General features: G+C 36.7%; 1 long non-coding RNA gene across 1 annotated transcript in view, besides 2 other annotated features; it reads left to right on the plus strand.

Moving 5' to 3' along the window:
* The window catches only part of NRXN1-DT (NRXN1 divergent transcript), a 1,375,317-nt gene that overhangs the window by 1,282,496 nt on the left and 65,315 nt on the right, over nucleotides 1–27,506 (plus strand). Inside the window, exon 8 of the long non-coding RNA NR_135237.1 lies at nucleotides 1,136–1,204. This is a non-coding gene — a long non-coding RNA (NRXN1 divergent transcript). The remainder of the gene's footprint in view (nucleotides 1–1,135; nucleotides 1,205–27,506) is intronic.
* Nucleotides 20,362–21,165: an enhancer, noted in NCBI's record as "OCT4-NANOG hESC enhancer chr2:52562596-52563399 (GRCh37/hg19 assembly coordinates)". NCBI's record gives its function as "activates a minimal SCP1, AML or CMV promoter by ChIP-STARR-seq in naive H9 embryonic stem cells {active_cell/tissue: H9 hESC(naive)}" and the evidence as "EXISTENCE:reporter gene assay evidence [ECO:0000049][PMID:30033119]".
* Nucleotides 22,255–22,965: an enhancer, noted in NCBI's record as "OCT4-NANOG-H3K27ac hESC enhancer chr2:52564489-52565199 (GRCh37/hg19 assembly coordinates)". NCBI's record gives its function as "activates a minimal SCP1, AML or CMV promoter by ChIP-STARR-seq in naive H9 embryonic stem cells {active_cell/tissue: H9 hESC(naive)}" and the evidence as "EXISTENCE:reporter gene assay evidence [ECO:0000049][PMID:30033119]".

Below are 27,506 nucleotides of genomic sequence, written 5' to 3' on the forward strand. Positions count from 1 at the left end.
TCATGTTTTAGTTAAACTCTATCTACTACAGACAACTAACGCACAGAGGTTCAAATCAGACCCTCTGGCTCTCATGGGTATGCTCTTGTCCACCAGTATGTTTTTCCTTGGGAGGTAAAAAAGTATAATAACATAAGTGAAAATAAGGATAAGCTTATCAAAGACATAAACAGGACGTTTAGATTGTTGGAACCATTTTCTTTACCATAGATAGCTTTCTATTGTTTTTCTTCTTTAGTTTCTTTCCTCCCAATTCTCTACTAGCTCAATATTCTTAAATCTATCCTTCTTATTCTACAGATCTTGAGTTATTCCACATTTTAAGATGTTACAACCTTTAAGAACTAGATCTTAATTATCTAGATTTATCCCCACTACTTTAGAATAGGGAGTACGCAATAATAATTTCTTCAAAGATTATTTGTACAAGCCTGACTCTCCACTTAGTACCTCATTGTTTCCTTTGTCTAGAATGGTTTTCTCCTCTCACAACCATTATTTATTTATGTAATGATCAATCATAAAAGTCCTGATATAGGAAGTTTTTCCTGATCAGACTGATTCAACTCTTAACCTCTTAAAGCATTTATTGCCTTTTTTTTTTGTAGAAATTTACTGTGTGTTATATTATTCTTTTAACTTTTCTCTATATAGGTTTCATGTCACTTTTAACTAGATCTGTGAACTCCATGAAGTCAGAAATCATGTCATGAATTTATTTGCATTCTGATTAGTATAGTATCTTGCATATAAGAATTGCCACATAAATGTTTATTGTTGAAGATATAATAAGAATCATGAGAGAGATTCCAACCCTTCTACTCTCCTGGAATAAGAGTACAAACTTAGAGAAAATATTACTGCTAGAAATGAAAAATATAGAAATGATTAATCACATGAACCTCTTAGACTATTGTAAAATCTATTAGCCTGCACTTGAGAGAAGAAATACAGTATAATTTTTTTTCAGTTTCAAAATCCAGGATATTGAACAATTCTTGTATTCCTACAAGAGAGTGAATAGATGATCAATCAGATTAATAACTCCTAAAGCACAACAAACACATGAGAACCTGATCTAAGAAATATTATATAGCCAAAAGCCATTCACAGAATACTATCATTTATTTTTCAGAGGACGGATCCAACATTCAAATGGTCTTGGGTCTGCATCTTAGCTCGGCCACTGGATAGCTGTACAACTGTAAGCAATTTATCTACTCTCAGTTAACGCTATTAAAGTGGGATAAATATAATAACTGTTATATCTACCTCATAATATAATTTTGAAGATTACATGAGATGATCTAACTGCTGATATTAATTGTCCTCTTGCCAAGGAAATGATCTGAATCTTTATATAGTAAAGAAATAAAGGATAGTCCAGAAGCTCTGTCACATAGTCACATCATATGATTTGTGAGGAATGTTGCAAATAATATGTAATAATTACAACATAAAGTATAAGAGATTCCTATTGTCTCTGCACCTAAAGTTAATAACAATGATGGATATGAAACTCCATATTCTAAAGAAAATTGTTTGATACTACTAGATGGCAAAGCTGAACTATGCTTTTCACTCTCTTCTAGCTTATTTAAAAAACAGGTAAAAATTTATTAGAGAGGGTAGATGTTTTTGGAAGAAATATGGAAGCATGGAGAGAACTGTGATATTTTCTCTCCCATCCCTATTGAGTAAGGGAGGAGGGGACACTCTCACCTATGCCAAATAAGAAGGGTCCCTAAGAGATCTCCTGGGCATAATTGGGGAACCTCCCTCCTATTCACCAGCTGCATTCAATGACCTGCAGAAATTCTAGACCAGCCTGTGCTGATACCCAAGTAGTGTGTGATATAATCCTTTGAAAAGCTTGACAGCAATTCTCTAGAGTTTAGAAAGATTGAGGCTGATGGCTGCCTCTTGAAGGAAACTAAAAAATTTCACCCCAAAATATACTGCTTTGACATATTTTGAGATGGATGTTCAGAGGTCTTGCAGACAGAAGTAGCCCTGCAAAGCTGTCTTTCGTGAGGGAGATTTGTACCTATAGAGGAAATAAAGTGAAGTAAACAAGAGATGTAAATAGTCTGTCTCTGAAGCTCCTTCTTGTCTGGATCTAGGAAAGATTAACTGAGAGTCTGACACCCATCTAGTCTTTCTGAGAGCTGCTACTGTGTGATTTCATCTACCTAACAAGACCACTTTTGCCAGCCAATCCTTTCTCCGTTCTCCCTCCCATAACCTGTCTTGCCACCACAACTTACTTGGCCATGCCTCAAGCCCTTATTCTTTCTGTAACTTCAAAATGTTATGAAACAGCCTGGGCAACATAGTAAGACCCCGTCTCTACAAAAAATTTAAAAATTGGCTGGGTGTGGTGGTGGTTGCCTATAGTCCCGTGTACTCAGGAGGCAGAGGTGGGAGGATCACTTGAACCTGAGAGGTGGAGGCCGCAGTAAGCCATGATCTGCACTCCAGCCTGGGCCACAGAGTGAGAGACCCTGAAAGAAAAGAAAGAAAAGGAGGGAGGGAAGGAAGGAAGGGACGGAGGGAGGGAAGGGTATCAACCATCTGGCCATTGCATAGAGTTTTTCATATTTGTATGACTCCCATCCCTGTATGGATGTTAATAAAATTTGTATGCCTTTTTTCCTGTTAATCTGGCTATTAATTTGTTTTATAGACTCAAATTATCCAATCTTCAGGGGAAAAATTTAAACGTCCCTATGCTCTCAACTAAAAACGTCTTGAGGCAGGAGACAATCTAGGTAGAAGGGCAATAGCAGGGCAAGGTGGAGAGGGAATAGCTACAGAATCAAGTGCAATTCCACCTTATTTTTTAATCTACATCAAATAATTTTACTGTGTGGTGTGGAGGTAATCTCAGAAATCTCAGAAAAACAAAACAATAATATTTCCCTAAATGAGCCAGCATTGGAATGCTTCTCATGAAGCAGAACATTTCACCAAGTGACAAGTGTTAATATTACTAGCTAAGTCTCATCCTTTCTCCTTGCCACAGCCTAGTGTCCTGAGTGGGGAGGAAAAGTCAGAGGAGTAAGTGAGGAGAGGAAGTTGAGCAGGGAGAGAGAAAGAAAAGGACAAATACTACAAGAACCCTCTCTAAGATTCTAAAGTAAGTGGGCAAACAATAATTATTATGCTGGTATGTTAAATACCTAAAAATAAAATAGGTCTGTTACAGTCTCAAATGATTGGAAAACTATGAAATTCGCCAGAGATATTTCCATTGGGTTGCAAAAAGAAATACAAAAGAACAGGTTTGAGGACCAAAAGTAGAATAAGAAGCTGCTTTCTGATATTACTGCTTTACTGTTTTGTGTTTTTGTTTTTGTTTTTGTTTTGAGTCAGGGTCTCACTCTGTCACCCAGACTGGAGTGCAGTGATACAATCACAGCTCACTGCAACCTCCAACTCCTCGGTTCATGTGATCTTCCTGCCTCAGCTTCCCAAGAAGGTGGGGTTACAAAGAAACATGCCACCATGCCTGGATAACTTATATATATTTATATATAATTTTTTTTTCTGGATACATGGGGTCTCCCTCTGTTGCCCAAGCCGGTCTCAAACTGCTAGGTTTAAGTGATCCTCCCACCACAGCTTCCCAAAGTGCAGGGATTACAGGAGTGAGCTAACACACCCAACTCTGCTTTACTATTTTAATGCAGCCTATTAAATACATCCATCACAGTTTATTTCATGCAATATTATGTATAAAAGAACAATATACTTACTGGTTCTGACTAAAAGTTATTCTATAACACTGCTCTCATTCAACTGCATTTTAATATGTTTCCTGATTGTGAGAAATGAAGGGAGATTTTGGTTCATCATCTGAGAATTGTCTATATTTGTGTGTATACATCTATTCATTTAAAAATAATTAGGTAAGAGTCTATAAGTGAGTCACCTAGGTAGATTGTATTACACATGGGAAAATTATCTATTGTGTATGTTGTACTAGAACATAGGCTGAAAACCCCCAACCGATACCTATGCAGCCAATAAGATATCTGGGATTACTTCAGAATAATTCAAAGTAGGGAAGGTGGGTCATATATAAGTAAAACAAGATCGGTACTGAGTTAAAGATAATTTCAGAAGCTGGAAGACAGTTGCATAGTGTTTACTATATTACTCTGTTTTCTTGTATACACATATTTGAAATTTCCCTTAATAAGATGGTGATAAAGAAACAAAAAGGCCAAGTACCCTGAGTAAACTTCTCATGGTAAAATGCATTGGTGGGTTTCCAGGAATTAAGGAAAATATTCAAAAATATTATATAAAAACTGCATAGACTGTCAATAGAGGTACTTACTAATGGACCTAGTAGCAAAGTGGAGGAGGATTAAACTGATACTCTTTCATTTTAACTGAGTTCTTCTAAGGGAGTGGTCCAAACCCAGGGGAAAATAAAAACAAAATAACAAAATATAATAAAAAGTAAAATAAATATCTGATATCTAGCAGAAGCCAATGTACACTCTCTCTACAGACAATATCCCCAAGTTGAGTCATCTACCTCATATCTAGCCTTATAGACATGAAGATCAAGGGAAAATTAGCTCATAGTCAAAGATCATCAACAGTACTTAAATTAAGTTTATCGTATAAATACACCCTGCCTGGCACTGCTCTCTTCAAAGTAAGCATAGGATAGTTTATCATTCTGTCTAGCCCACCCCACTGTTTGTGACTTTCCTTCAGAAAACCCTACTTTATGGTTATACTGCATGATGCTACTTTTGTGCCCATACCCTACATTAGCAATGATATACTAGGCTTATTGCTAATTCCTTACTTAAAAGGAAACATTTCCAAATTTTCCTTATTATGAATATATTTTATAGATATCCTTAAGCAGTTAACCAAGTTTTCTTCTATTCCTAGTTGACTCAGAATCTTTTTTAAAAAATCATAAATAGTGTCAAATTTTATAAAATAATCTTCCTGCATCAATTGAAATAATTATATGACTTTATTATCTAATTTGTTAAATGTGGAAAGTTACATTAAACCACCTTTACATTCTTTGGACACAACTAGTTTGGTGATAATATACAACGATAAAAAAATAAAATATTAGAATACAGAGTAAAACAATACAATTTTGAGCATAAACTTTTCAGTGATTTTAAGAAGTGCTTTTATTTCACATATTAAATTTAGCATGTACTAACTTAGCAAGTATTGCCTACATTTTCTTTTAAATGTCCAAAGAATTATGAAAAATCACACAGCCTAAAAAACCAGCACTTCAGAATTTCAGATATCTCAGTGAATGAATTTTAAAATATCATAAACTTTTTAAAACACACACATTGGGTGAATACAAACCATACAAAATAAATGTACAGTGTCTAAAATATTTTTCAATAACAATTAAAATAAATAGATAAATATGAAGAATTTGGAAAATATACTAAGGCAAAATTTTAAAGACGGTCGAACATACATTTAAGGACTGACACCACATGATTGTACTGGATGATCTTTAGTAAAATCATTCAATCACTTTTCCCCTCTGCTCTCCCCCAAAAACCAACACACACACACACACACACACACACACACACACACACACACACACACACAGTCTCTCTCTCTCTCTCTCAGATGCTTGTATCTTAAATGCAGATGACTCTTTAGTTTCTAATGCCATCATGATAGGTGAAGGAGTCTCACAGGTTGTGTGATGCTACCCAGTAAGGAGGGTAAATTCTGCATCGGTGCATTCAGAACACTGTCACACAGACTGCATTACTCAGTGACTACCTGGAGACGACAGTTACCTCAACATGAAAGTACACATGACTTACAGTTTTTTGGAGTGGACTTTGCTGATGAGATATGGGTGACAGGGAGGAGTGGGGGTTACACTTCTCACTTACTGTCTGTTTGAACTTAGACAAGTTACATAATTACTATAAGCCTCATTTGTAATAACATCTATCATTAAGGTAGTTATGACAACTAAATGTACTGATTTCTGTAAAGTGCTTGGAGGATTAACTGACCTACAGTACAGAATAATTTATGGCTATCATTATCATGGGCCAAGTGGGAGACTACATTCTCCCTTCCTTTTTCTTAGATGCCATATTGCTTAAAGTTTCCAAAGATGCCTTCCAAAACCAAGAATTAGTCTTGCTGAGTACTAAGCTAAAACTGTTCAAGAACATATGCCCTTATATTTATTATCTCTCCTTCCCTGCCTCATTTTATGCTTTCATTGAGCCCTGCCACCCAGGGATTGCACTATCCAATAACATAATACCAACAGTACTTTTAGACTCATGCATTGTTTTCTAGATCACAGAGCTAAGACTATGACAAAGTAAGAATGTAGCCATATTGGAAATAATACTCTTGGAAGAGGGTATTATTATCCCAGAATTTTCCTGGGATAATTACAAATTAGGAAATATATTGAAAATGTTTGATATATTCATAAATCATGGAGAAGGAAAAAGTCCATAACAACCTCTCAGTAGATAACAAACACAAATTCAGTAGAAGTCAACATACATTTTTGAATAATGAGGCTGGGCATGGTGGCTGACATATGTGTGATCCCAGCACTTTGGGAGGCTGAGGCAGCGGGGTGGCTTGAGTGCAGGAGTTTAAGACCAGCCTGGGCAACATGGTGAAACCCCATCTCTACAGAAAATACAAAAATTAACCAGGTGCGGTGGCTCACACCTGTAGTACCAGCTATACTGGAGGCTGAGGTGAAAGGATTGCTTGAGCTGGGGAGGCGAAGGTTGCAGTGAGTCATGAATGTACCACTGCACTCCAGCCTGGGCAAGAGAGTGAGACCCTGTCTCAAAAAAAAAAAAAAAAAAAAAAAGAAAGAAAGAAGAATAATGAGTTATATAAATAATTCAAAATCCTATCAAATAAGAGTTTTATTTCTACAAGATAAGAGAAAATATATTTTTTCTTCCAAATCATCTGCCAACCTGATTTCAAACCCAGTCCACATTAAATTATTCTCATTAAAATTAGAATTACCACTGGAATGCCAGTCATGTATGACTATGTAGCATTATTATGTATGTTCTATCTAACAAAGTGATAAAGAAAACCAAATGAGTTATGCTGGAAAGACCATATAATTACTCTCTTTATTATATTTACCAAATAGCACTTAATTTATATAGTTGTTTTACATAGCAATTCTGTGCTCAGGAATTTATCATTTAGATATGCATGTACTTGTTGCTAAAGATGCATGGGTCAATTGATTTTACACTCCAGAAAGGCAGGGATTATGAGTGTTTTGTTTATGATTGCATACACAACACCTAGCCCAGCACTTGGCCCATGATAATGAGAGCCATAAATGATTCTGTACTATAGGTCAGTTTGTCCTCCAAGCACTTTACAGAAATCAATACATTTGATTCTCACAACCACCTTAATGATAGATGTTATTACAAATGAGGCTTGTAGTGATTATGTGACTTGTCTAAGGTCAAACAAACAGTAAGTAATGAGACAAGAATTTGAACCTCAACATTCTGATTCCAGAACTACTTTTGATCATTCTGATACTTAAGGCTTTTCATATGTAGAAATCACAAAGCTGTTGTACAAAAAATTACTTTTTGACTATTATATGTGGAATGAATAAAAAGATGAAAAAGATGTATAAATAAATTATTGAATGACAATGCCAATTGTTACCAATTTATAAAAATAAAAAGAAAATAATAAATATAGCAAGAGCAAAAAAATAACACAGACTGATAAAATAAAAATTGGTTAATTCATCTAAAGGAATCTACAAAATCATTAAGAACAGTGATAAATCTCAATGTACACAAGTATGGGAAGACATGGTGCTATGTGAAAGGCAAATATCAAGTGTGATACACAGAATAATGACCCCTCAAAAACATCCGTGTTCTAATTCCCAGAACATGTGAACATATTACATGGCAATGGGAAAATTAAGGTCACAGATAGAATTAAGGTTGCTAATCTGCTGACCTTGAGATGAAAAGATCCTGGATTAGTCAAGTGAACTCAATGTAATTACAAGTGTTCTTGTGAATGAAAGAGTGAGGCAGGAGGATCACTTTCAGAGTCAAAGAGAGATGTGAACATGCTACACTGCTAACTTTGAACATGGAAGGGAGTCACAAGCTAGTGAATGTGGGCAGCTTATATATGCTAGAAAAGGCAAGTCAACAAATTTTCCCCTAAAGCTTCCAGAAATAATGCAGCTCTGCCAATACCTTGATTTTAGCCTTGGGAGATTCATTTCAGATTTGGGGCCTCTAGAATTGTAAGAAAATAATTTGCAATGTTTCAAGCCACCAAATTTGTGGTAATTTGTTGCAGCAGCAACAGGACAAACATATACCAAGTTGGAGAAGTATATTTCATTTTTATATATAAAAGCATATATAATTAGGGTAATATTATTACACGCAGTTTAAAAACCTTATCTTCTTTAGATTTGTATTTTCTCACTTTGCAGAACATTTGTAATTATTACATATATATTGCTATATAATACGCTGTCAGGAAATAATAATAATATGTAAAATAGATAGAGCAATATTTAAATAGGGAAAAATACACACACATGAATATGAGTTTAAAGATATATAATAATGAACCATGTTATTTGTTGTATTTTCACATAAATTGCCCTTTCCAGTTGCAAATAACTATTTTCTTAAGTTTTCAAATTTTTTTTTTTTTTTTGAAACAGGTTCTCACTCTGTCATCCAGGCTGGAGTGCAGTCCCACAATCATAGCTCTACGTAATCTTGAACTCTGGTGCTCAAGTGATCCTCTTGCCTCAGCCTTCAAAGTAGCTAGGACTATAGGGGCATACCATTACACCCAGCTATTTTTTTTTTTGACAGAGGTTCTCACTTTGTCACCCAGGCTGGAGTGCAGTGGCATGATCTTGGCTCACTGTAGCCTCTAACTCCCAGGCTCAAACAATCATCCTGCCTCAGCCTCCTAAGTAGCTGGGACTATAGGCGCACCACCATGCCCAGCTAATTTTTAAAAAATTTTTTCATAGAGACAGGGTCTTGCTATGTTGCCCAGGCTGGTCTTGAACTCCTGGACTCAAGCAATCCACCCACCTCGGCCTCCCAAAGTGGTGGGGTTACAGGTTTGAGCCACTGTGCCTGGCCCCAGCTAATTTTTTAATCTCACTATGTTGACAAGGCTGGTCTCAAGCTCCAGGCCTCAAGTGATCCTCCCACTGCAGCCTCCCAAAGTGCTGGGATTACAGATGTCAGCCACTGTACCAGGCAATTTCCAAAATTTCTACAATCTGCCTGTGATACATGTAAAATTCTCAGAAAAAGCAATAAACATTATTATTTATTTATTTATTTATTTATTAATGTCTTTTGAGATGGAATTTCGCTCTTGTTGCCCAGGCTGGAGTGCAATGGCACAATCTCGGCTCACTGCAATCTCCGCCTACCAGGTTCAAGCAATTCTCCTGCCCCAGCCTCCCGAGTAGCTAGGATTACAGGCATGCGTCACCATGCCCAGCTAATTTTTGTATTTTTGGTAAAGACGGGGTTTCACCATGTTGGCCAGGATGGTCTCGATCTCTTGACCTCGTGATCCGCCTGCCTCGGGCTCCCAAAGTGCTGGGATTACAGGCGTGAGCCACTGAGCCCAGCCATTATTTTTATTTTAAATATAACTTGGATTTTACACACTGCTCGTGGAAGGTGACACAAGAGACATTAATAAACCAGTTATCTTTTAAAATCAAAGGTTGGTGCCTGAAAATTGATGTTCCCAAATTCACCAAAGCAGAAAGGTGAACAAAATATTTCAGTTCATTATCATAAACGTCCAACATATTTTTATCTACATGTAAAAAAAAACCATGCACATCTTATAAGAAAACATGGCAAAAATAACTTCACAGCTTGAGTCAAAGAAAAAGTTGGCATTGATGAAAATGTGTGCATATATTCTAAATAAAATTTGAAAGGCAGGCACATAAATGTGGGTAACACCTTCATCATTTTTATGCTAACAGGGCTGAAAGGAAAAGAATTAATTACAACCAATCATTGAAGGCTCCAGGCAGTAGTGAAGTTTTTTTATATTTTTCTAGACTCATCTTCCATTTTTTCACTAAGCACTTATATTAGTTTCCTATTGCTGTATAACAAATTGCCACAAACTTAGTGGCTTAAAACAATATACATTTATTATCTCAAAGTTTCCAAGGGTCAGAAGTCTGGATACAAGCCTGTTGGTTTCTCTGATTAGCTTTTCACAGGCTGAAATCAAGGGGACAGCCAAGGCCATGATGTCATAGAAGGTTGGAAGTCGTCTTCCAAGCTCACTGGTTATTGTCAGAATTCATTCCCTTGTAAATGTAGGAATGAAGTTGTCATTTACTTGCTGACTGCCTGTCTAGGACTGCTCTTGGCTCACAGAGTTCCCTCTCAGCTCTTCACAGCAGTTCATAGCTTGGTTGTCTGCTTCTTCAAAGCTAGCAAGTGAACAATTTCTGCTGCTTAGAATCTCTCTGACTTGTTTCAAGTATTGACCTGATTAGGTTGGGTATACCTCAGATAATCTTCCTTTTGATTAACCTAAAGTCAATTATTCAGGATTTAATTACATCTGCAAAATCCTTTTGCAGCAACATCTGGATCAGTGTTTGATTAAAAACTGGGCACATATGTGTACACCAGGGCTAGGGAATCCTGGGAAACACTGAGAATTTTACATACTTCATACTCTAACTATTAAACTGTTGACTCTTTCACTAAAGGTCCTGGACTTTTTCACCTCTGTTCTGCATTTCTCATGTCATCCTCCATGTTGGAAAGCCCCTATCATGTTTCAGTAGGAGAATTTTTAAAATTTTATTTTTTAACACCCTTATTGAGATATAATTCACATACCAAATAATTCAGTCATGTAACATGTACAATTCAGTGATTTTCACTGTATTCAAAGAGTTGTGTAACTTTCCCCACAATTCATTAAAAAACATTTTTACTACCTCAAAAAAATAAAAAAATTAGAAACCCAGATTGACAGCAGCGAGATGGCTGACTAGAATTGCCTGGTGTTCATCTTCCCCACAAAAAAGGACCAAAAGAACAAATAAACAACTGTAATACAATAAGAGCCTGTGAAGAAGCGTGGGGGAGTACAGCAAGGGAGTGGTGAAGTCCCTGTGGATCATAGAAAGCGAGGATAGCAGCATAGAGAGAAGAGCAAGGCACCCTACCTCTGCTGCCCCATCTCTTCTGCCAGGATCAGATGAGCTCAGAGTCAGGAGGGAGTTCCCTTTGTGAGGAAAAGGTAAGTAGGAGGCCCCCAACACCCCACATTACTACCACAGACACCTGCAGTTTTTGCTGTAGAAGAATCCACCAGTCCTCACAGGCCCTGAGCCCAGTTTGGGGAGCTGCTTAGAATTCAGGTGGCTACCTTGTTCCAGAGGAGGAGATTACATTGTGCACTGCCTCCGGCCCCATGACCCAAGCTGTTACAGCATATTGCCATTCTGAAACCAGAGTCACTGCTGGGGTGTGTCCTGCTCTGGGGGCCAGTAGCCTCTGCATCTGTCCTGTCCTAAGGCTCTGCCATCATTCTACTATGCTCACATAGGTGGCTGCAATGCAATGATCTTACCTGCTCAGAGTGAAGCCACAAATAGGTGTAACTCCAATGCCCAGGCCCATGTGATGTCCTGACCCTCAAGGAACAGGTGGTTCTGCATAGTGTGAAAACTAACCTTGTGTGGGCCAGGCAAACTGCCATGCACTAGAGCCCCCAGCAGGAGAAAAAGTTTCAGTGACCTCCCCCTGGAAGCCCTACCCTCAATCTGGCTGAACTGCTGTGGGCCTGCACCCTCTCCAGAGAAACAGCCTGGCTGCCACACTCCAAAACTAACCAAACCAGCATGTTCCTGCATCCTTGGCTGAAGAAACAAACCAGCAAAACTTTCTCTGGGAACCCTGCCCTAGAGTTAGCAGAACTGTTTGTTGTGCACCTGCACCCTCAGCCTGAAAAAGAGACTAAGGACCCTATTTCCAGTGATTTTGGCTTCTCACTGGCCAACCTATGATACACCGTGTCCCCAGCCTGAGAACAAATTCAGTGAAGCCACCTCTGACAAAACTGTGCCACCATTGCCACCATAATCTCCTTTAGCCTAGGCAGCGAAGGCATTGGTAGACATCTCTGACATGGATTATAGGAGAATAAACTGCATGGAAACTATACTACTACAGTTATCCAGAATCAAAACTAATGCACACCATCCAACTGACTCCCTAGGACCCATCTACAGGAATAATTCTCTGCCTACAAAAGCTGCTCCACAAAATTGAAAAAGGTAGGCTGTTTCACCAGATGTTCAGATATCAACATACGGACACAAGGAACATGAAAAAGCAAGGAAACATGACACCTTTAAAGGAATACAATATTTCTCCAGTAACAGATCCCAAAGGAAAAAAATATATATAATGTCTGAAAAAGAACTAAAAATAATAATCTTAAGAAAACTCAGTGAAAAATAAGGATTATAAATAATTCAATAAAATCAGCAAAACAATTTACTATCTGAATAGAGAAATTCAACACAGAGATAAATATAAGAAAAATAATCTTGGAGCTGAAGAACTCAATAAATGAAACAAAAAGCACAATTGAGACCTTCAACAACAGACTAGATCAAGAAGAAAAAAGAATTTCTGAGTCTGGGTATGATGGCTCATGCCTATTATCCCAGCACTTTGGGAGGCCAATGGGGGAGGCTAGCTTTAGGCCAGGAGCTCAAGACCAGCCTGGGCAACATAGGAAGACCCCCATCTCTACAAAAAATAAATAAATAAACATAGCCTTGAGTGGTGGCATGCACCTGCGATTCCAGCTACGCAGAAGGCTGAGGTGGGAAAATTGCTTGAGCCCAGGAGGTTGAGGCTGCAGTGAGCCATGATCACATCCCTGCACTTCAGCCTGGGCAACAGAGTAAGACCCTATCTTAAAATAAATAAATAAATAAATAAAATTCTGAATTCAAAGATCTTTTGAAATAACAAATTTAATAAAGTTACAGGATACACAACATAAAAATCAGTAGCATTTCTATATACTAATATATGCTATATGTATTAGCATTTCTATATGCTAATATATGCTATATGTATTAGCATTTCTATATGCTAGTAATGAACTATCTGAAAGAGAAATCAAGAAAACTTTCCCATTAAGAGAAGCTATTAAAAAATAAGTTACCTAGAAATAAATTGAACCAAGGTGGTGAAGCTCTCTTCACTGAGAATGATAAAATATTGTTTAAAAAAATTGAAGAGTATGAAAATAAATGGAAAGATATCCCCTGTTCAGGGATTGTAATTAATATTGTTAAAATGTCCATGCTGGCTGGGCGCAGTGGCTTATGCCTGTAATCCCAGCACTTTGGGAGGCTGAGGTGGGCAGATCACGAGGTCAGGAGTTTGAGACCAGCCTGGCCAATATGATGAAACCCCTTCTCTACTAAAAATGTAAAAATTAGCTGGGTGTGGTTGCACGTGCCTGTAGTCCCAGCCACTCAGGAGGCTGAGGCAGGAGAATCATTTCAACCGGGAGGCAGAGGTTGCAGTGAGCCGAGATCGTACCACTGCACTACAGCCTGGGTGACACAGCTAGACTCCATCTCAAAAAACAAACAAACAAACAAAATGTCCATGCAAAGTATACATTCAATGGAATCTCTAACAAAATACCAATGATGTTCTCCATAGAAATAAAAAAAAAAATCCTCAAATTCATGTAGAATGACAAAAGACCCTGAATAGCCAAAGAAATCTTGAGCAGAAAATAAACAAACCAAACCAAACAAAAAAACAGAACAAAAAACCCAACAACAAACAAAACAACAACAACAACAACAAAGCTGGAGGCATCACACTGGCTGATTTCAAAATATGCTTCAAAGCTAGAGTAACCAAAACAGTATAGTATTACTACAAGAACACAGATACACATACCAGTGGAACAGATAGAGCCTAGAAATAAATCCACAAATCTCCAGCTAACTGACTTTCAATAAAGGTGCCAAGAAAATCGGATTATGGAAAAAGAATAATCATTTTAATAAATGGTACTAGAAAAATTGGATAACCATATGCAGAAAAATAAAACCAGACCCTTATATTTTACCATATTTAAAAATCAACTGTAAATGGATTGAAGATTTAAATGCAAGACCTGAAACTATTAAACTACTAGAAAAAAACATATAGGGGAAATGATTCATGACGTTGGACTACGCAAATATTTTTTGGATAAGAGCTCAAAAGCATAATGAACAAAAGCAAAAATAGATAAATGGGATTACACTAAACTTAAAAAACCTTCTGCACAGAAAAGGAAACAATAAACAGAATGAAGAGACAACCTAAAGAATGAGAGAAAATATTTCCAACCTTTATATCTGGCAAAGGTTACTATCCAGAATATATAAGAAATTCGAACAATTCGAAAGCAAATAATAATAGTAATAATAGTATCCTGATTTAAAAACTGTACAGAACACCTTAGCAGACATTTTTCCAAAGAAGATATACAAAAGACCGACAGGTATACGAAAAAATGCTATCACTAATTATCAGGAAAATGCAAATCAAAATCACAATGAGATTATCACCTCACCCCAAGTTAGAATGCCTATTATCAAAAAGACAAAAGATAACAAGTCTTGGTGAGGATATGAAGAAAAGGGAACCCTTACACATTATTCATTGAAATGTTAAGTTAATACAGCAATTATGGCAAATACTATAGAGATTCCTCAAATTATTACAAATATGACTGCCATGTGACCCACCAATCCCACTACTGGGAATATATATGAAGGAAAGGAAATTAAAGCGATATCTGCACTTCCATGTTGGCAGCACTATTCACAATTGCCAAGATAAGGAATCAACCTTAGTGTTCAACAACAGATGAATAGATTAAGAAAACTGTGGTATATATGCTCAATGGAATACTATTTGTTCATTTAAAAAAACAGAACAAAATCTTATTTTACATGAATGAATCTGGAAGACATTATGGTAAGTAAAATAAGTTAGAACCAGAAAAACAAATACCACATTCTCACTCATATGCAGCATCTAAAAAAGTTGATCTCATAGAAGTAGAGAACACTGGTTAGCAGAGACTGGTAGGTAGGAGGGAGGAGGAAATAGTGGAGAGGATGGTCAATGGGTACAAAGTTATAATTAGAAAGAAAGAATAAGTTCTGATGTCCTATATTGCACAGTAGGGTTACTCTAGTCGGCAATAAGTTATTATATATCTCAAAATAGCTAAAAGAGAGGATTTTGCGTGTTCCTACCCTAAAGAAATAATAAATATTTGAGAAGTTGAATATGCTAATTACCCTGATTACTGCAAAAAGTACACATGTATCAAAACATCACATTGTATCCCATAAATATGTACAATAATTATGTCAATTAAAAATAAAAAAGAAACCCATATCCATTAGCAGTTAATCTCAATTTCCCCCAGCTATCCTCCCCCATCCTAGCCCTAAACTACTATTTTTTTCCTCTATAGATTTGCCTATTCTGGATATTTAATATAAATAGGGTATATAACATGCCATCTTTTTTTTTTTTTTTTTTGAGACAGAGTCTTGCTCTGTCACCAGGCTGGAGTGCAGTGGCGTGATCTCAGCTCACTGCAATCTCCACCTCTGAGGTTCAAGGGATTCTCCTGCCTCGGCCTCCCAAGTAGCTGGGACTACAGGCACGTGCCACCATGGCAGCTAATTTTTGTATTTTTAGTAGAGATGGGGTTTCACAATGTTGGCCAGGATGGTCTCAATCTCTTGACCTCGTGATCTACCCGCCTCAGCCTCCCAAAGTATGCCATGTTTTATGACCAATTTCTTTCACTTAGAATGCCTTCAAGTTTCATCCATGTTCTAGCATATATTGGTATTTCATTCCTTTTTATTGCTGAGTAAAATTTTATTGTATGTACAGGCAACATTGTATTTACTCATTCATCAGCTGATGGACATTTGAGCTGTTTCTACTTTTTGCCTGCTATGAACATGCTGTTACGAACATTTTTGTACGTCTTTTTGTGGACGTATGTTTTTGTCTCTGTTACCTGGGGGTGGAATTGCTAGGTTATGGTGAATCTATGTTTTGAAGAACTTCAAGATTGCTTTCCAAAAGAGAATTCATTTGCATTTAATTTTGCATTCCTGTCAGTACTGCATAGGAGTCCAATTATTCACATCATTGTCAAAACTTGCTATTATATATCTATTTTACTATAGCCATCCTCGTGGGTATGAAGTTTGTAGTTTTGATTTCCACTTCTTTAATGGCTGATGTTGTTGAGCATCATCTGAAGTACTTAGTGACCATTTGTATATTTTCTTGGACCTCTTGATCTTTGAGGTTCATCTAAAAGATCCCCTCCTACCTGAAGCTTTCTCTAATTCTGCTAGCCAGTTGTGATTTGTTCTCCTCTGATTCATAACTGCACTCTTGTGTTGAACTTAATTATTGATCACTCTGTGTAAGATACCATACCAAGAGTAATTGAAAATACATTTGTGAAGCAGATATTGATTGACATTTGGTCCTCAAGAAGTGTACAACCATGTCAAAGAGATAAAACGTATGTGTTCAGGTCACATTGCATGCTTGCTTTCTTCCTTCTAGTTTGTAAAATTAATAGCATGAGATTGCTATCTTATGGCTCAGTGTTATAAATAAAGCCAATAAATATTAATTGAATTGAACTGTAATCCCAGCCTAAATTATGTCTAATTTGGGGATAAACTTAAGAAAAAAACTAAAGTAACAAAACACTTAACTTAAAATTATTGTCATTTTCCCTCTTGAAATCTTCCAACTTTCAGGTGAAAGTTTCTTAAAACACAGCCAAATTAGCTCAAACCACCTGACCACTTAAGTCTTTCTCTCTAATGTATAAAATCGTATTATAAAATTTTGAAAGAGGGTTATCTCAAATGGCCTCATTTATTTCCTATAAAAAATGCAAATCTCTAAACATTTAATTCCATTTGAATATTATATTCATCTTTCAAAATCAAGCTGAAATGCCTCTTCTTTCATAGTCTTTTTCTGTTTTTGTAAGGCAGTTACTTGATGTCTCTTTCTCTATTCTTCCTATTTTATGTTTTAGGTCCTTAATAGCAATTGTCATGTTGAATTGTGGTTAGCTATTTATGCCCAGCTCTCTCCATAAACTGTTTATGCTATATACCGTAGTGAGTTTCTCTATAAATTCAATTTCCTAGCTCCTATTATTGTTGCTGTAAAATCCATTTGATTAGATGTTATCAATTTTAGATAATTCAGTGAGCATTATTGAATCTATTACCAATAGAATCTATTACCAATAGAAAGCAAGAGGTTTTTGCTATTTGTAAAATTTTTCTATAGACTGGAAAGGCAGCAGTGGCAAGTATATTTAAAGTCTATTGTTTATTTTATGCTTTCCTCATAGAAAAGAATATTATATGAATTATTTGATATACAGTATCCTAGTTCCTTTATTTGGGCTAAAATAATATATTTCTTCACCATTAAAAATCCACCTTCACCTGAGGATTTAACAAATGATTAATTTTGTTTCTCTTTTTATTTTTTGAGATGGAGTTTTGCTCTCATTGCCCAGGCTGGAGTGCAGTGGTGTGATCTCGGCTCACTGCAACCTCCACCTCCCGGGTTCAAGCTATTCTCCTGCCTCAGCCTCCAGAGTAGCTGGGACTACAGCTGCCTGCCACCACGCCCAGCTAATTTTTGTATTTTTAGTGGAGACAGGGTTTCACCATGTTGGCCAGGCTGGTCTCAAACTCCTGATCTCAGGTGATCCTCCCTGCTCGGCCTCCCAGAGTGCTGGGATTACAGACGTGAGCCACTGCGCTCGGCCTTGTTTCTCAGTTTTAAAGAATTATTTAAAATTAGCTATGTTATCTTATCAAAAAAATTTCAACAGCAGAAAGAAATATTAAGTAGCCAAACTTAAAACAAACCAAAGAGGTTATGCAGGTCAACATAAACACTTTGAGATAAATGCAATTATCAAGAGAACATATTTTAAAATACTGTGCAGAATTTATAACAGAGAAAAGTTGGTGACATAATTTATTTTGCAATCTAATCTTTTTTTTTTTTTTTTTGCCAGAGTTTGATGGTTTTCTAAAATAATCTTTTAAGGAGCAAGAACTTCCCATTTGAATTGATATTTATGGTTAATAAGATTTGAAAAATTTGAAGGACAGCATTTAAATCTCTTTGTCACTGCTATGGCTTGCACTAAAATGAATGCCCGGCCCTATAGGAAATTTGTTTTAAGCCCACAATAAATACGTCACTTAACCACTCTAGGACTCAACATTTTTTTCTTGAAAAATAGGGAACAAATAAATGTTTTTAATGCCCCTCCCAGATCGAACATTGTATGATCTTTCTGCTAATTTTTAAATCATTTTATAGGGAAAAACTTGATAGGTACTCTTTTACATTAGATCATGTTAGAAAAGGAACAAAGAGAAATAAACAGCTCTATTCTAACGTAATATCTACTTTGTGCTATTTTTAAATATATTTTACTTTATACTTCCAGTGATGTTGTAAGACATTTATAGCTCTGTATTAAAGATAAAAATGAACAGATCATCAAATTTAAAACAAAACAAAACAAACTTTGTTCCAGATCACATGGTTAGTAGATAACCCAGCTGAGATTTAACCCCAAGGCTCGCTCTGTTTATATATCTCATTAAGTATACCTTGTATGTTATTTTTACAATCTATTCAAAACTCAGTGTCTAAGTTTAATATAGACATGTAATATACACTAGATTTCGCTCTAGATTATTAATGACAACCTTCTCATCCCCATTTCCTCCCACTCAATGTCAAACACAAGGTTACTTTTAGCAAAGTATACCTATAGGGGAGAAAAACTTTCTCACCCATTGCAAGGTTCATTGCTGAGGCCCCTATAACAGAAGACAAATTAAGAGAAAATGCACATTTATCAAATACAAGTTTTCATGACATAGAAGCCTTCCTAAAAGAAGATCCAAAGAAATAAGAGAAACTATATTTTTGTGGTAAAGCATATCAGAGGCATTCGAACAAGAGTGACTACCTTGAATAGCAGCTGGGCAAAATTAGGCTGAGACCTGCTGGGCTTGAATTCCCAGGAAGTTAGGCATTTTTAGTCACAGGATGAAATAGGAAGTTGGCACAAGATACACAGTCATAAAGACCTCGCTGATAAAACAGGATGTAGTAAAGAAGCCAGCTAAAACTCATCAGAACCAAGATGGTGATCAAAGGGACCTTTGGTATTCATCACTGCCCATTATATGCTAATTATAATGCACTGGCATGCTAAAAGACATTTCCACCAGCGCCATGACCGTTTACAAATGCCATGGCAACATCAGGAAGTTACCCTATATGGCAGGGGTCCCCAACCTGCGGGCTGTGGACCAGTACCCATCCATGGACTATTAGGAATCACGCAGCACAGCCACAGATGAGTAGCAGGCGAGTGAGAATTACCACCTGAGCTCTGCCTCTAGTCAGATCAGCGGTGGCATTAGATTCTCATAGAAGTGCAAACCCTATTGTGAACTGCACATGCGAGGGATCTAGGTTGCACACTCCTTATGAGATTCTAATTAATGCCTGATGATCTGAGGTGGAACAGTTTCATCTCAAAACCACACCGTACACTGCCACCCTCTAAAAGAAATTGGTCCCTGGTGCCAAAAAGGTTGGGGACCACTTCTATATGGTCTAAAAAGGGGAGGAACCCTCAGTTCTGGGAATTGCCTACCCCTTTCCTGGAAAACTCATAAACAACCCCTTGCTTAGCATATAATCAAGAAATAACTGTAAGTATACTCAGTCGAGCAGCCCACACCGCTGCTCTGCCTATGGAGTAGCCATTCTTTCGGTACTTTTGTTTCTTAATAAACATCCTTGCACTTTACTCTGTGGACTACACCTGAATTATTTCCTGTACAAGGTCCAATAATCCTCTCTTGCGGTCTGGATGGAGATCCTTTTCTGATAACAGTCATGCAAGTGTATAATTAGAGGACGAAGGCTATGGTAATAAACTAGGTTAACTTAGCAAGGTCTATTAGTGCAGATTCTTCTCCGTGTTCCTGTATGGTATTCTTTTCCTCTAGGTATAGGGTGGACACATCTGGAATGAAGGTTCTATGACCTACCTTAGAGAGAGGCCAGCAAATTCTCTTATAGCCTCCTTCAAGGGAAAAGGGTGAGGGAAAGGTGAGAGTGAACTTCCTGCTTCAGTTCCTTCCTGCTTCTGCTCCTTCTTCAAATGCCAAGATGCTATATTTTGGAGTAGCATGTCCTGAACCCCATTTCACCTAAGGCTTACCCAAGAGTTTTATTTTAAATCGTCCCTCTATTGTCACATCAGGAACACTCTTGGAGTTAACATTTAAATGAAAATGCATATTTAGATAATTAATATATTTCAACACAATCAGAGATGCCAAGATTATACAAGCAATTGCTGGCAGACCTTTAAAAAGTGTTAAATTCCACTGGCTGTTTTTACATGTAACTTGTTAGAAGCAGCATTTCACTCTCAACCAATGGAGGGGAAAAACAATTATATTGTGAAATCCAAAATAATGACTCCATTCCACCATCCTGTGTTACTTAAGTCTGCTAATTGTTTTATTTTGAATCCCTGTGGTTTGGTTAATTTAGGTGATTGAAGTTCTTTGAAAACCTCCACTCTTGCCAAACTTGGCTTTTGATGAGTCACTTTGAAGTGACTTGGGTGCCTTGGTGAAAGGTAGACAAATACAGTCCCACCCCACCAGGTGTCCTTGCCTTCGAAGGCTTACTAACTCCCCAGGTCCAGGAGCTAAATTCTATTTGGCTGCTTTTAAGGAGAATCCTGAAGTCAGGATACAATAATATTGTGCAAAACTGAATGTTTAAAACTACTTCCCAAGTCATTCTGAATTTCATTATGTAATAGAAATGGCCAATTCTAGCATAGTTATATTCCAGAATATCCTCACATAAAAGTTGATTTGGAAAAAAATAAAAATTACAAATTGAAGTATAAGGTTATTTGAGCTTTGACTGAATATAATTGTTTTGTCACATTTCTCCCTTTCTAAAGTAAATGTATGTGAGTACTGAATAATATTAATTCAGGAATGGCAATGCTTGAAAAGTAGGAATTGAGTTGATAATAAGGAAATTTTCCAGATGGTTTTAAATTATAATTCAGCTCAGAACCCAGGTTTCCGTCAACATTTTTTGCCCAAAAATTAAATGATAAATTTTAACATTAAATCCTGACATGTTCAGGATAACTCATTAATGCAGTGGAATAATATTTCTCAGTATATTCTAATAAGAGGATCCCTTTAAACATGAAAAATATTGGGAAACATACAAATGATAATAATCATTCAAACTGGGAAATTCATTGCTTTTTTCATGGACTTAAAAAAGTATTTAAAAAACTACTGTTAAATCAATAGTGGTAAATTATTTAATAGGAATTATAGCAATGAAACCACCTTCGAAAAATTATAACTGAGGAAATTATGATGGGGAAAGGGAGAGAGAGCAGAACCAACCAACCCCATCTTGCTTCTAACCTCTAAGCTGTCCTAGTTCATTCTCAATTAACCTTGGGAAGCAATTTAGTTTACAGTTTAACTTTGAAACAAAAATAATAATAGCTCTTCCCCAGAAAAAAACAAAACAAACAAACAAAAAAAACCTTTTGTGCCTGGGGACCAGTCTGCCTTTGTAGGACCAACAAATTAGCTACAAGATTAGAAATTACAATTTAGGGGCCATGGAGCAAGAGTCTGAATTTCCCCAAATTGCTCCTGGGAATAATATCACTGTCATAAAACCTAAGATCAGTGCTTGAGATATTGTACAAACCCTGCGTTCCAATGCACCAGCTGACACTGCCCAGACCAGTAATCTGAGTCAACCAAATCTGTGATTCCATCCAGGAACAGAAGACAGCAAGAACTTACTTCAACCCACTATGATTTCATCTCCAACCCGACCAATCAGCACTCCCCACTTCCTGAGCCTCTACCCACCAAATTATCTTGAAAAATTTGGATTCCCCAGTTTTCAGGGAGACTGATTTGAGTAATAATAAAACTCCAGTCTCCCTCACAGAATGCTCTGAATGAATTACTCTTTATTGCAATTTCTCTGTCTAAATTGGCTCTGTCTAGGCAGTAGGCAAGCTGAACCCATTAGGCAGTCATACCAATATCCACATTTATTAAAAATATGTATTTAAATAAAGTTTATTATTCAAACCTCAATAAGGTTTGTTGTACATTTAGATTAACAGGCAACTTGCAACAAATCTATGACTCTCCAGAATTATTCTGCCTCATGTTTGGTATCCAATGTTGGAAAAAATAGAAAAAAAAAAAAAAAAAGAATTGGTTTCTAGCCCGTGTCAGGCCTCTGAGCCCAAGCTAAGCCATCATATCCCCTGTGACCTGCACGTATACATCCAGACGGCCTGAAGTAACTTAAGAATCACAAAAGAAGTGAAAATGGCCTGTTCCTGCCTTAACTGATGACATTACCTTGTGAAATTCCTTCTCCTGGCTCATCCTGGCTCAAAAGCTCCCCCACTGAGCACCTTGTGACCCCCGCCCCTGCCCGCCAGAGAACAACCCCCTTTGACTGTAATTTTCCACTACCCACCCAAATCTTATAAAACAGCCCCACCTCTATCTCCCTTCGCTGACTCTTTTTTCTGACTCAGCCCGCCTGAACCCAAGTGATTAAAAAGCTTTAGTGCTCACACAAAGCCTGTTTGGTGGTCTCTTCACACGGACACGAGTGAAAGCCCGAATTTTGAAAATAATTATTTTCAGAAGTTATGTAAGTAAACTGACATCTTGGTAATGCACTTTATTCTCTAGGCTTAATTTTCTTCCCTACCAAAATCAAGGGCTGAATTTTATGATTTTCATGATCCCTTTTAGCATTTCCTTCTGATACATTAATCCATTTTTATGAATTTTAAAAAGTGTTGTGATTTTTCTTGCTATTATAGCAGTGTTATGACATATAGATTGAATAACTGAGTATTAATTCACATTCTTGGATCAATTTCTGTCTACAGCAAAACATATTTTGCTTAATTATTTGTATATTTTAAGTGAAAATATTGTGTGACCTGAGGTATCAAGATCATTGCTTTAATAAACCATTTAACCACCTTTTTTTTTTTTTTTTTTTTTTTTTCAGAATAGCCAGTGTTTCCTAGTAATTTATTTTCTAAAAACATAAAGATCCCCAGAAGCGTGATACCAGGCACTCTTTGTCACTGCCACAACCTTTGTTCCATATGTTTGAAATTTACCATATGCTTTGTTGAACTCTGAATATCTTTTCAGAACTTATGTAAGTAAATTAACATCTTGGTAATGCACTTTAACTGAGACAGGTCTCAGTTAATTTAGAAAGTTCAGTTTGCCATGGTTGAGATGGGCACCTACAACACAGCCTCAGGAGGTCTCGATGACATGTGCCCAAGGTGGTCAGAGCACAGTTTGGTTTTATACATTTTGGGGAGACTTGAGACATTGATCAACATATGTAAGATGAACATTGGTTCTGTCTGGAAAGACTGGACAACTCGAAGCAAGGGTGGGACAACTGGAAGCAGGGAGGGGGTTTCCAGGTCATAGGTAGGTAAGAGACAAACAGTTGCATTCTTTTGAGTTTCTGATTAGCCTCTCCAAAGGAGGCAATCAGATATGCATTTATCTCAGTGAGCAGAGGGGTGACTTTTAATAGAATGGGAGGCAGGTTTGACCTAAGCAGCTGCCAGCTTCACTTTTAGCTTAGTGATTCTGGGGACTTCAGATTTATTTTTCTTTCACAGCTTCAATTCTACCAAAGGTGTCAGTAGTCAGAACAGTCATGGATATTTAGCAATGTTCGCTGCATTAAAATTGTATTAATTCCTGTCTTCCTTTTTGTGCTTCAGAAATATCAGACATGGAATGGATTTTACTTCAGATAATTAAGAATTGGCTCTTTGATCTTGGTTCCAGGCAAATTACCTCTGAGTTTGTGACAACAGAAAATGTAACTTTGTAATTTCTTACTACAATTCACTACCGATTTTTAAAAGTGTCTTGAAAACTCATTGTATCAATGTCAATTGTGACTTTTACATAATGCTAAATTTTCAATTCATTTTTCCTTTATTTTTTAAGTAACAAATAACTTTCTAGTATCTATAATTTTTTAACTGGCTCTTCTAAAATAAATAAATAAATATATATATATACACACATATATATGTATATATATGTATATACGTACATACACACACACACACACACACACACAAGCCAGTAATCTCTTTTTCACTGCCACAATCTTTGTTCCATATGTTTGAAATTTACCATATGCTTTGTTGAACTCCGAATATCTTTTCAAAACTTAAGTAAGTAAATTAACATCTTGGTAAAGAAAAAATATCATTACAGTTAATGCTTAAGGATACATAAATTCCATAAAGAAATACCAACTACTATTAATAATATCAGATAAAATAATGGAAAGGATACTATAATAGAAGTCAGTAATTAAAACAGAATAAAGAAGGAAAGAAAGGAGGAAGAGAGAAAGGAAGGAAGGAAAAAGGAAAATGAGCAGAACTGATAAAATCATTCTTCATGCTGCTGTGTGTAAGGAATTAGATGTACCAGCAGAACTCACTTGTTTCTTCTACTTCTCTCTCCATGCCTACAATGCCAAATCAGTATCTCATTTTGCTTTTTTTGAACAAAGAACATAAGGTGAAAATGTTGTCAGTGTTTGAGAAATGTACTGCCTTAGGTTCTGCCCCTTTCTCCTCTGCTCTCCTTTTGCTCTTCTTGGTTTGTTGGTTTATTTCAATCCCCTAGTCACCGTTTCCTTTCTCTATTTCTTCCAACATAAATAGAAGGAGAACTCCTGAACACATGTTTTTATGTTCTCTCTTCTTCCCAAATAAAAGAGGATGGGAAAGAGCAGGCTGTGGTTGGTGAATGGTGAGTGGTTTTGCTCATCAACATGCATACTGGTTTGTCTCTTTAGCTCTTTGCACACTAAATGCTGCTTATCACATGGGCATTGAGTGAGCTCATAAAAGCCCCTGGAAGCAGGCAACATCAATCCTCTGGCTTCCAGCTCCCTCCTCTGTTGCAGTGAGGCCACATTTGGCTGCTGCACTTGACAGAATCAGTTTTCATTGGCTAAAACTGTTTTTTGCTTCAGAGCTCTCAAAACTGCCTTGGGAAAAACAAAACAACAACAAAAAACGTGGTCTGTTTTTCCCTTTCATGCAGCTTTTGGGACAGCCCAACATTACTGGCTTGTGTGTGTGTGTATGTACATACATACATACATACGTACATATATATATATATATTTATTTATTTATTTTAGAAGAGCCAGTTAAAAAATTATCTTTATAGATACTAGAAAGTTATTTGTTACTTAAAAAAAAAAGGAAAAAAATGAATTGAAAATATGTCAGATCATTCATAGTGCATTCATCAACAGTAGCAGCTCCCTAACCCTTAGAATCAATGTACTAGTGATGGGCCACTATATCAATTTTAAACTATCAGAAGAAGAAAAGAAGTAAAGAGGACCTCAGTAATCTGATTAAGTATTGCAGGTGAGAGAGAGCAGATCAACATGAACAGCAATTCCATTTTGATTCAGTGCCCCTTTTCATCTGAAGAAGTGAAGTATTTCAAAATATTTGAAACTCCCTCCTGGTAGAAAGTTGCTTAGTGAAAGATGCTGACTCATTTCTGTGAATGACGATATTGGATATTGTAATCTGCATTATTTAGCCCGTTGTGTGATATTAATCCATATTTTAAAAAGAAAGGAGAGGAGATGAGAGAGAAGGGAAGAGCAGAGAGGAGAAATGGAGATGTAGAAGTGAAGGAAGGCTATATGCCTCAGGTGGAGTAACTTAGAAGCTTGCAGCATAACCAGAAACGTATGCTATTTCCAGATTTCTCATGCAAAACACAAGTTATAAAAATAGGATTTTATTCACCAGGATGAATATGCAGATTGTCAGAAAAGCAATAACTTTATTGAAAGCCCTTGCTATGGATGAAAGCTCCTGATCTAGTTCTCTTATTTTTTCACTGGGATGCATTGACATCTACATGAAAACCCATTCAATAGACACTGTTAACATTTATATATTCTGAAAAGCAAAAACATGGGCATCATACTCTTAGTTTCTGAAACAGTTCCATTCCTTAAAGTCATGTAAGTCCAAAATAAATCAAGATCAGAACCGAGAATGTTATGGTCCAGATTCCTTTGGCCTATTTCCTGAATGAATTAAGCTTAGTGCATTTGTATGAACTGTTCTGTCAATCTTCATTTGTTCAAATTTTGTGCCAAGAAATATTTTAGTGTTGAACTACTGTATGGTACTGAATAAGGCATTTCTCTCTCCCCTTTAAGCTTGCAATCAAGTGGGTACAAACAAAAACAAATCATAAACATATAAATAAATAAGATCCATACATTAATTGGGCAGTGTTTAGTGCAGTTAACAAAAACACTCTAGATACTTTAAACAGAAGAGTTTGAAACGAAAGTTAATAGAGAAATACAGACAAAATGGTTCAAAAGGCTGAACAAGTGAAAGTCAGAGCCCTGCCACTGGAGCTCATATGTTCAAAGTCCCTCCAGTGTTGTGTAACCACATTCAAAGAGCTAGTGTTGAGCCACAGTTGCCTCTAGCATCCATGAAACTAGAGAGAATACACTGAAACACAAAATAGCGTCTTGGTCTTCTTATCTCAACAACCTTGTTTGTCAGCGTAAGCAAGGCAATAGCCTGTACTTCACTTGTGTTTTTCAAAAGTTACTTAAAACTTAATTTTGATTGAGAATTCTAGTGCAAAGAAGTCTGGTAAGTGTAGATTTTTTAGCTCACCAGTGTCTGTGGTATAGAAAGGCAGTTTAGAGGGAGGGTAGAGTGGAGGTTGAGTGAATCAATTCACATAACCTATCATACTGCAGATTAAGATAAATAATATAAGGAAGTAATATAAATGACATGACAGAAAATAAAATGTCAGTGGTAGTAGCTTACTATGATAGGCTGGTCAGAGAGGGCTCTTTGTGTAGCTGACATTTGATTGTAGACCTGAAGAAAGGCACTGATGTTAGCCATCTGAAGAGCTAGAGGGAAAAAAACCCACAAAGTAATGAACAAGGGGAAAGACAGCATTTGCGAAGGGGCTTGATGCATCTGAGGAAGAGAAAGAAGCCAAGTGTGGCTCAATTGCAATGAAGTGAGAGAGTGGGTCTTGAAGGTATAACATGAAGAGAGGAAGCCAAGTAAAA

The sequence above is a fragment of the Homo sapiens genome, chromosome 2, assembly GCF_000001405.40.
Source record: "Homo sapiens chromosome 2, GRCh38.p14 Primary Assembly".
Taxonomy (NCBI): domain Eukaryota; kingdom Metazoa; phylum Chordata; class Mammalia; order Primates; family Hominidae; genus Homo; species Homo sapiens.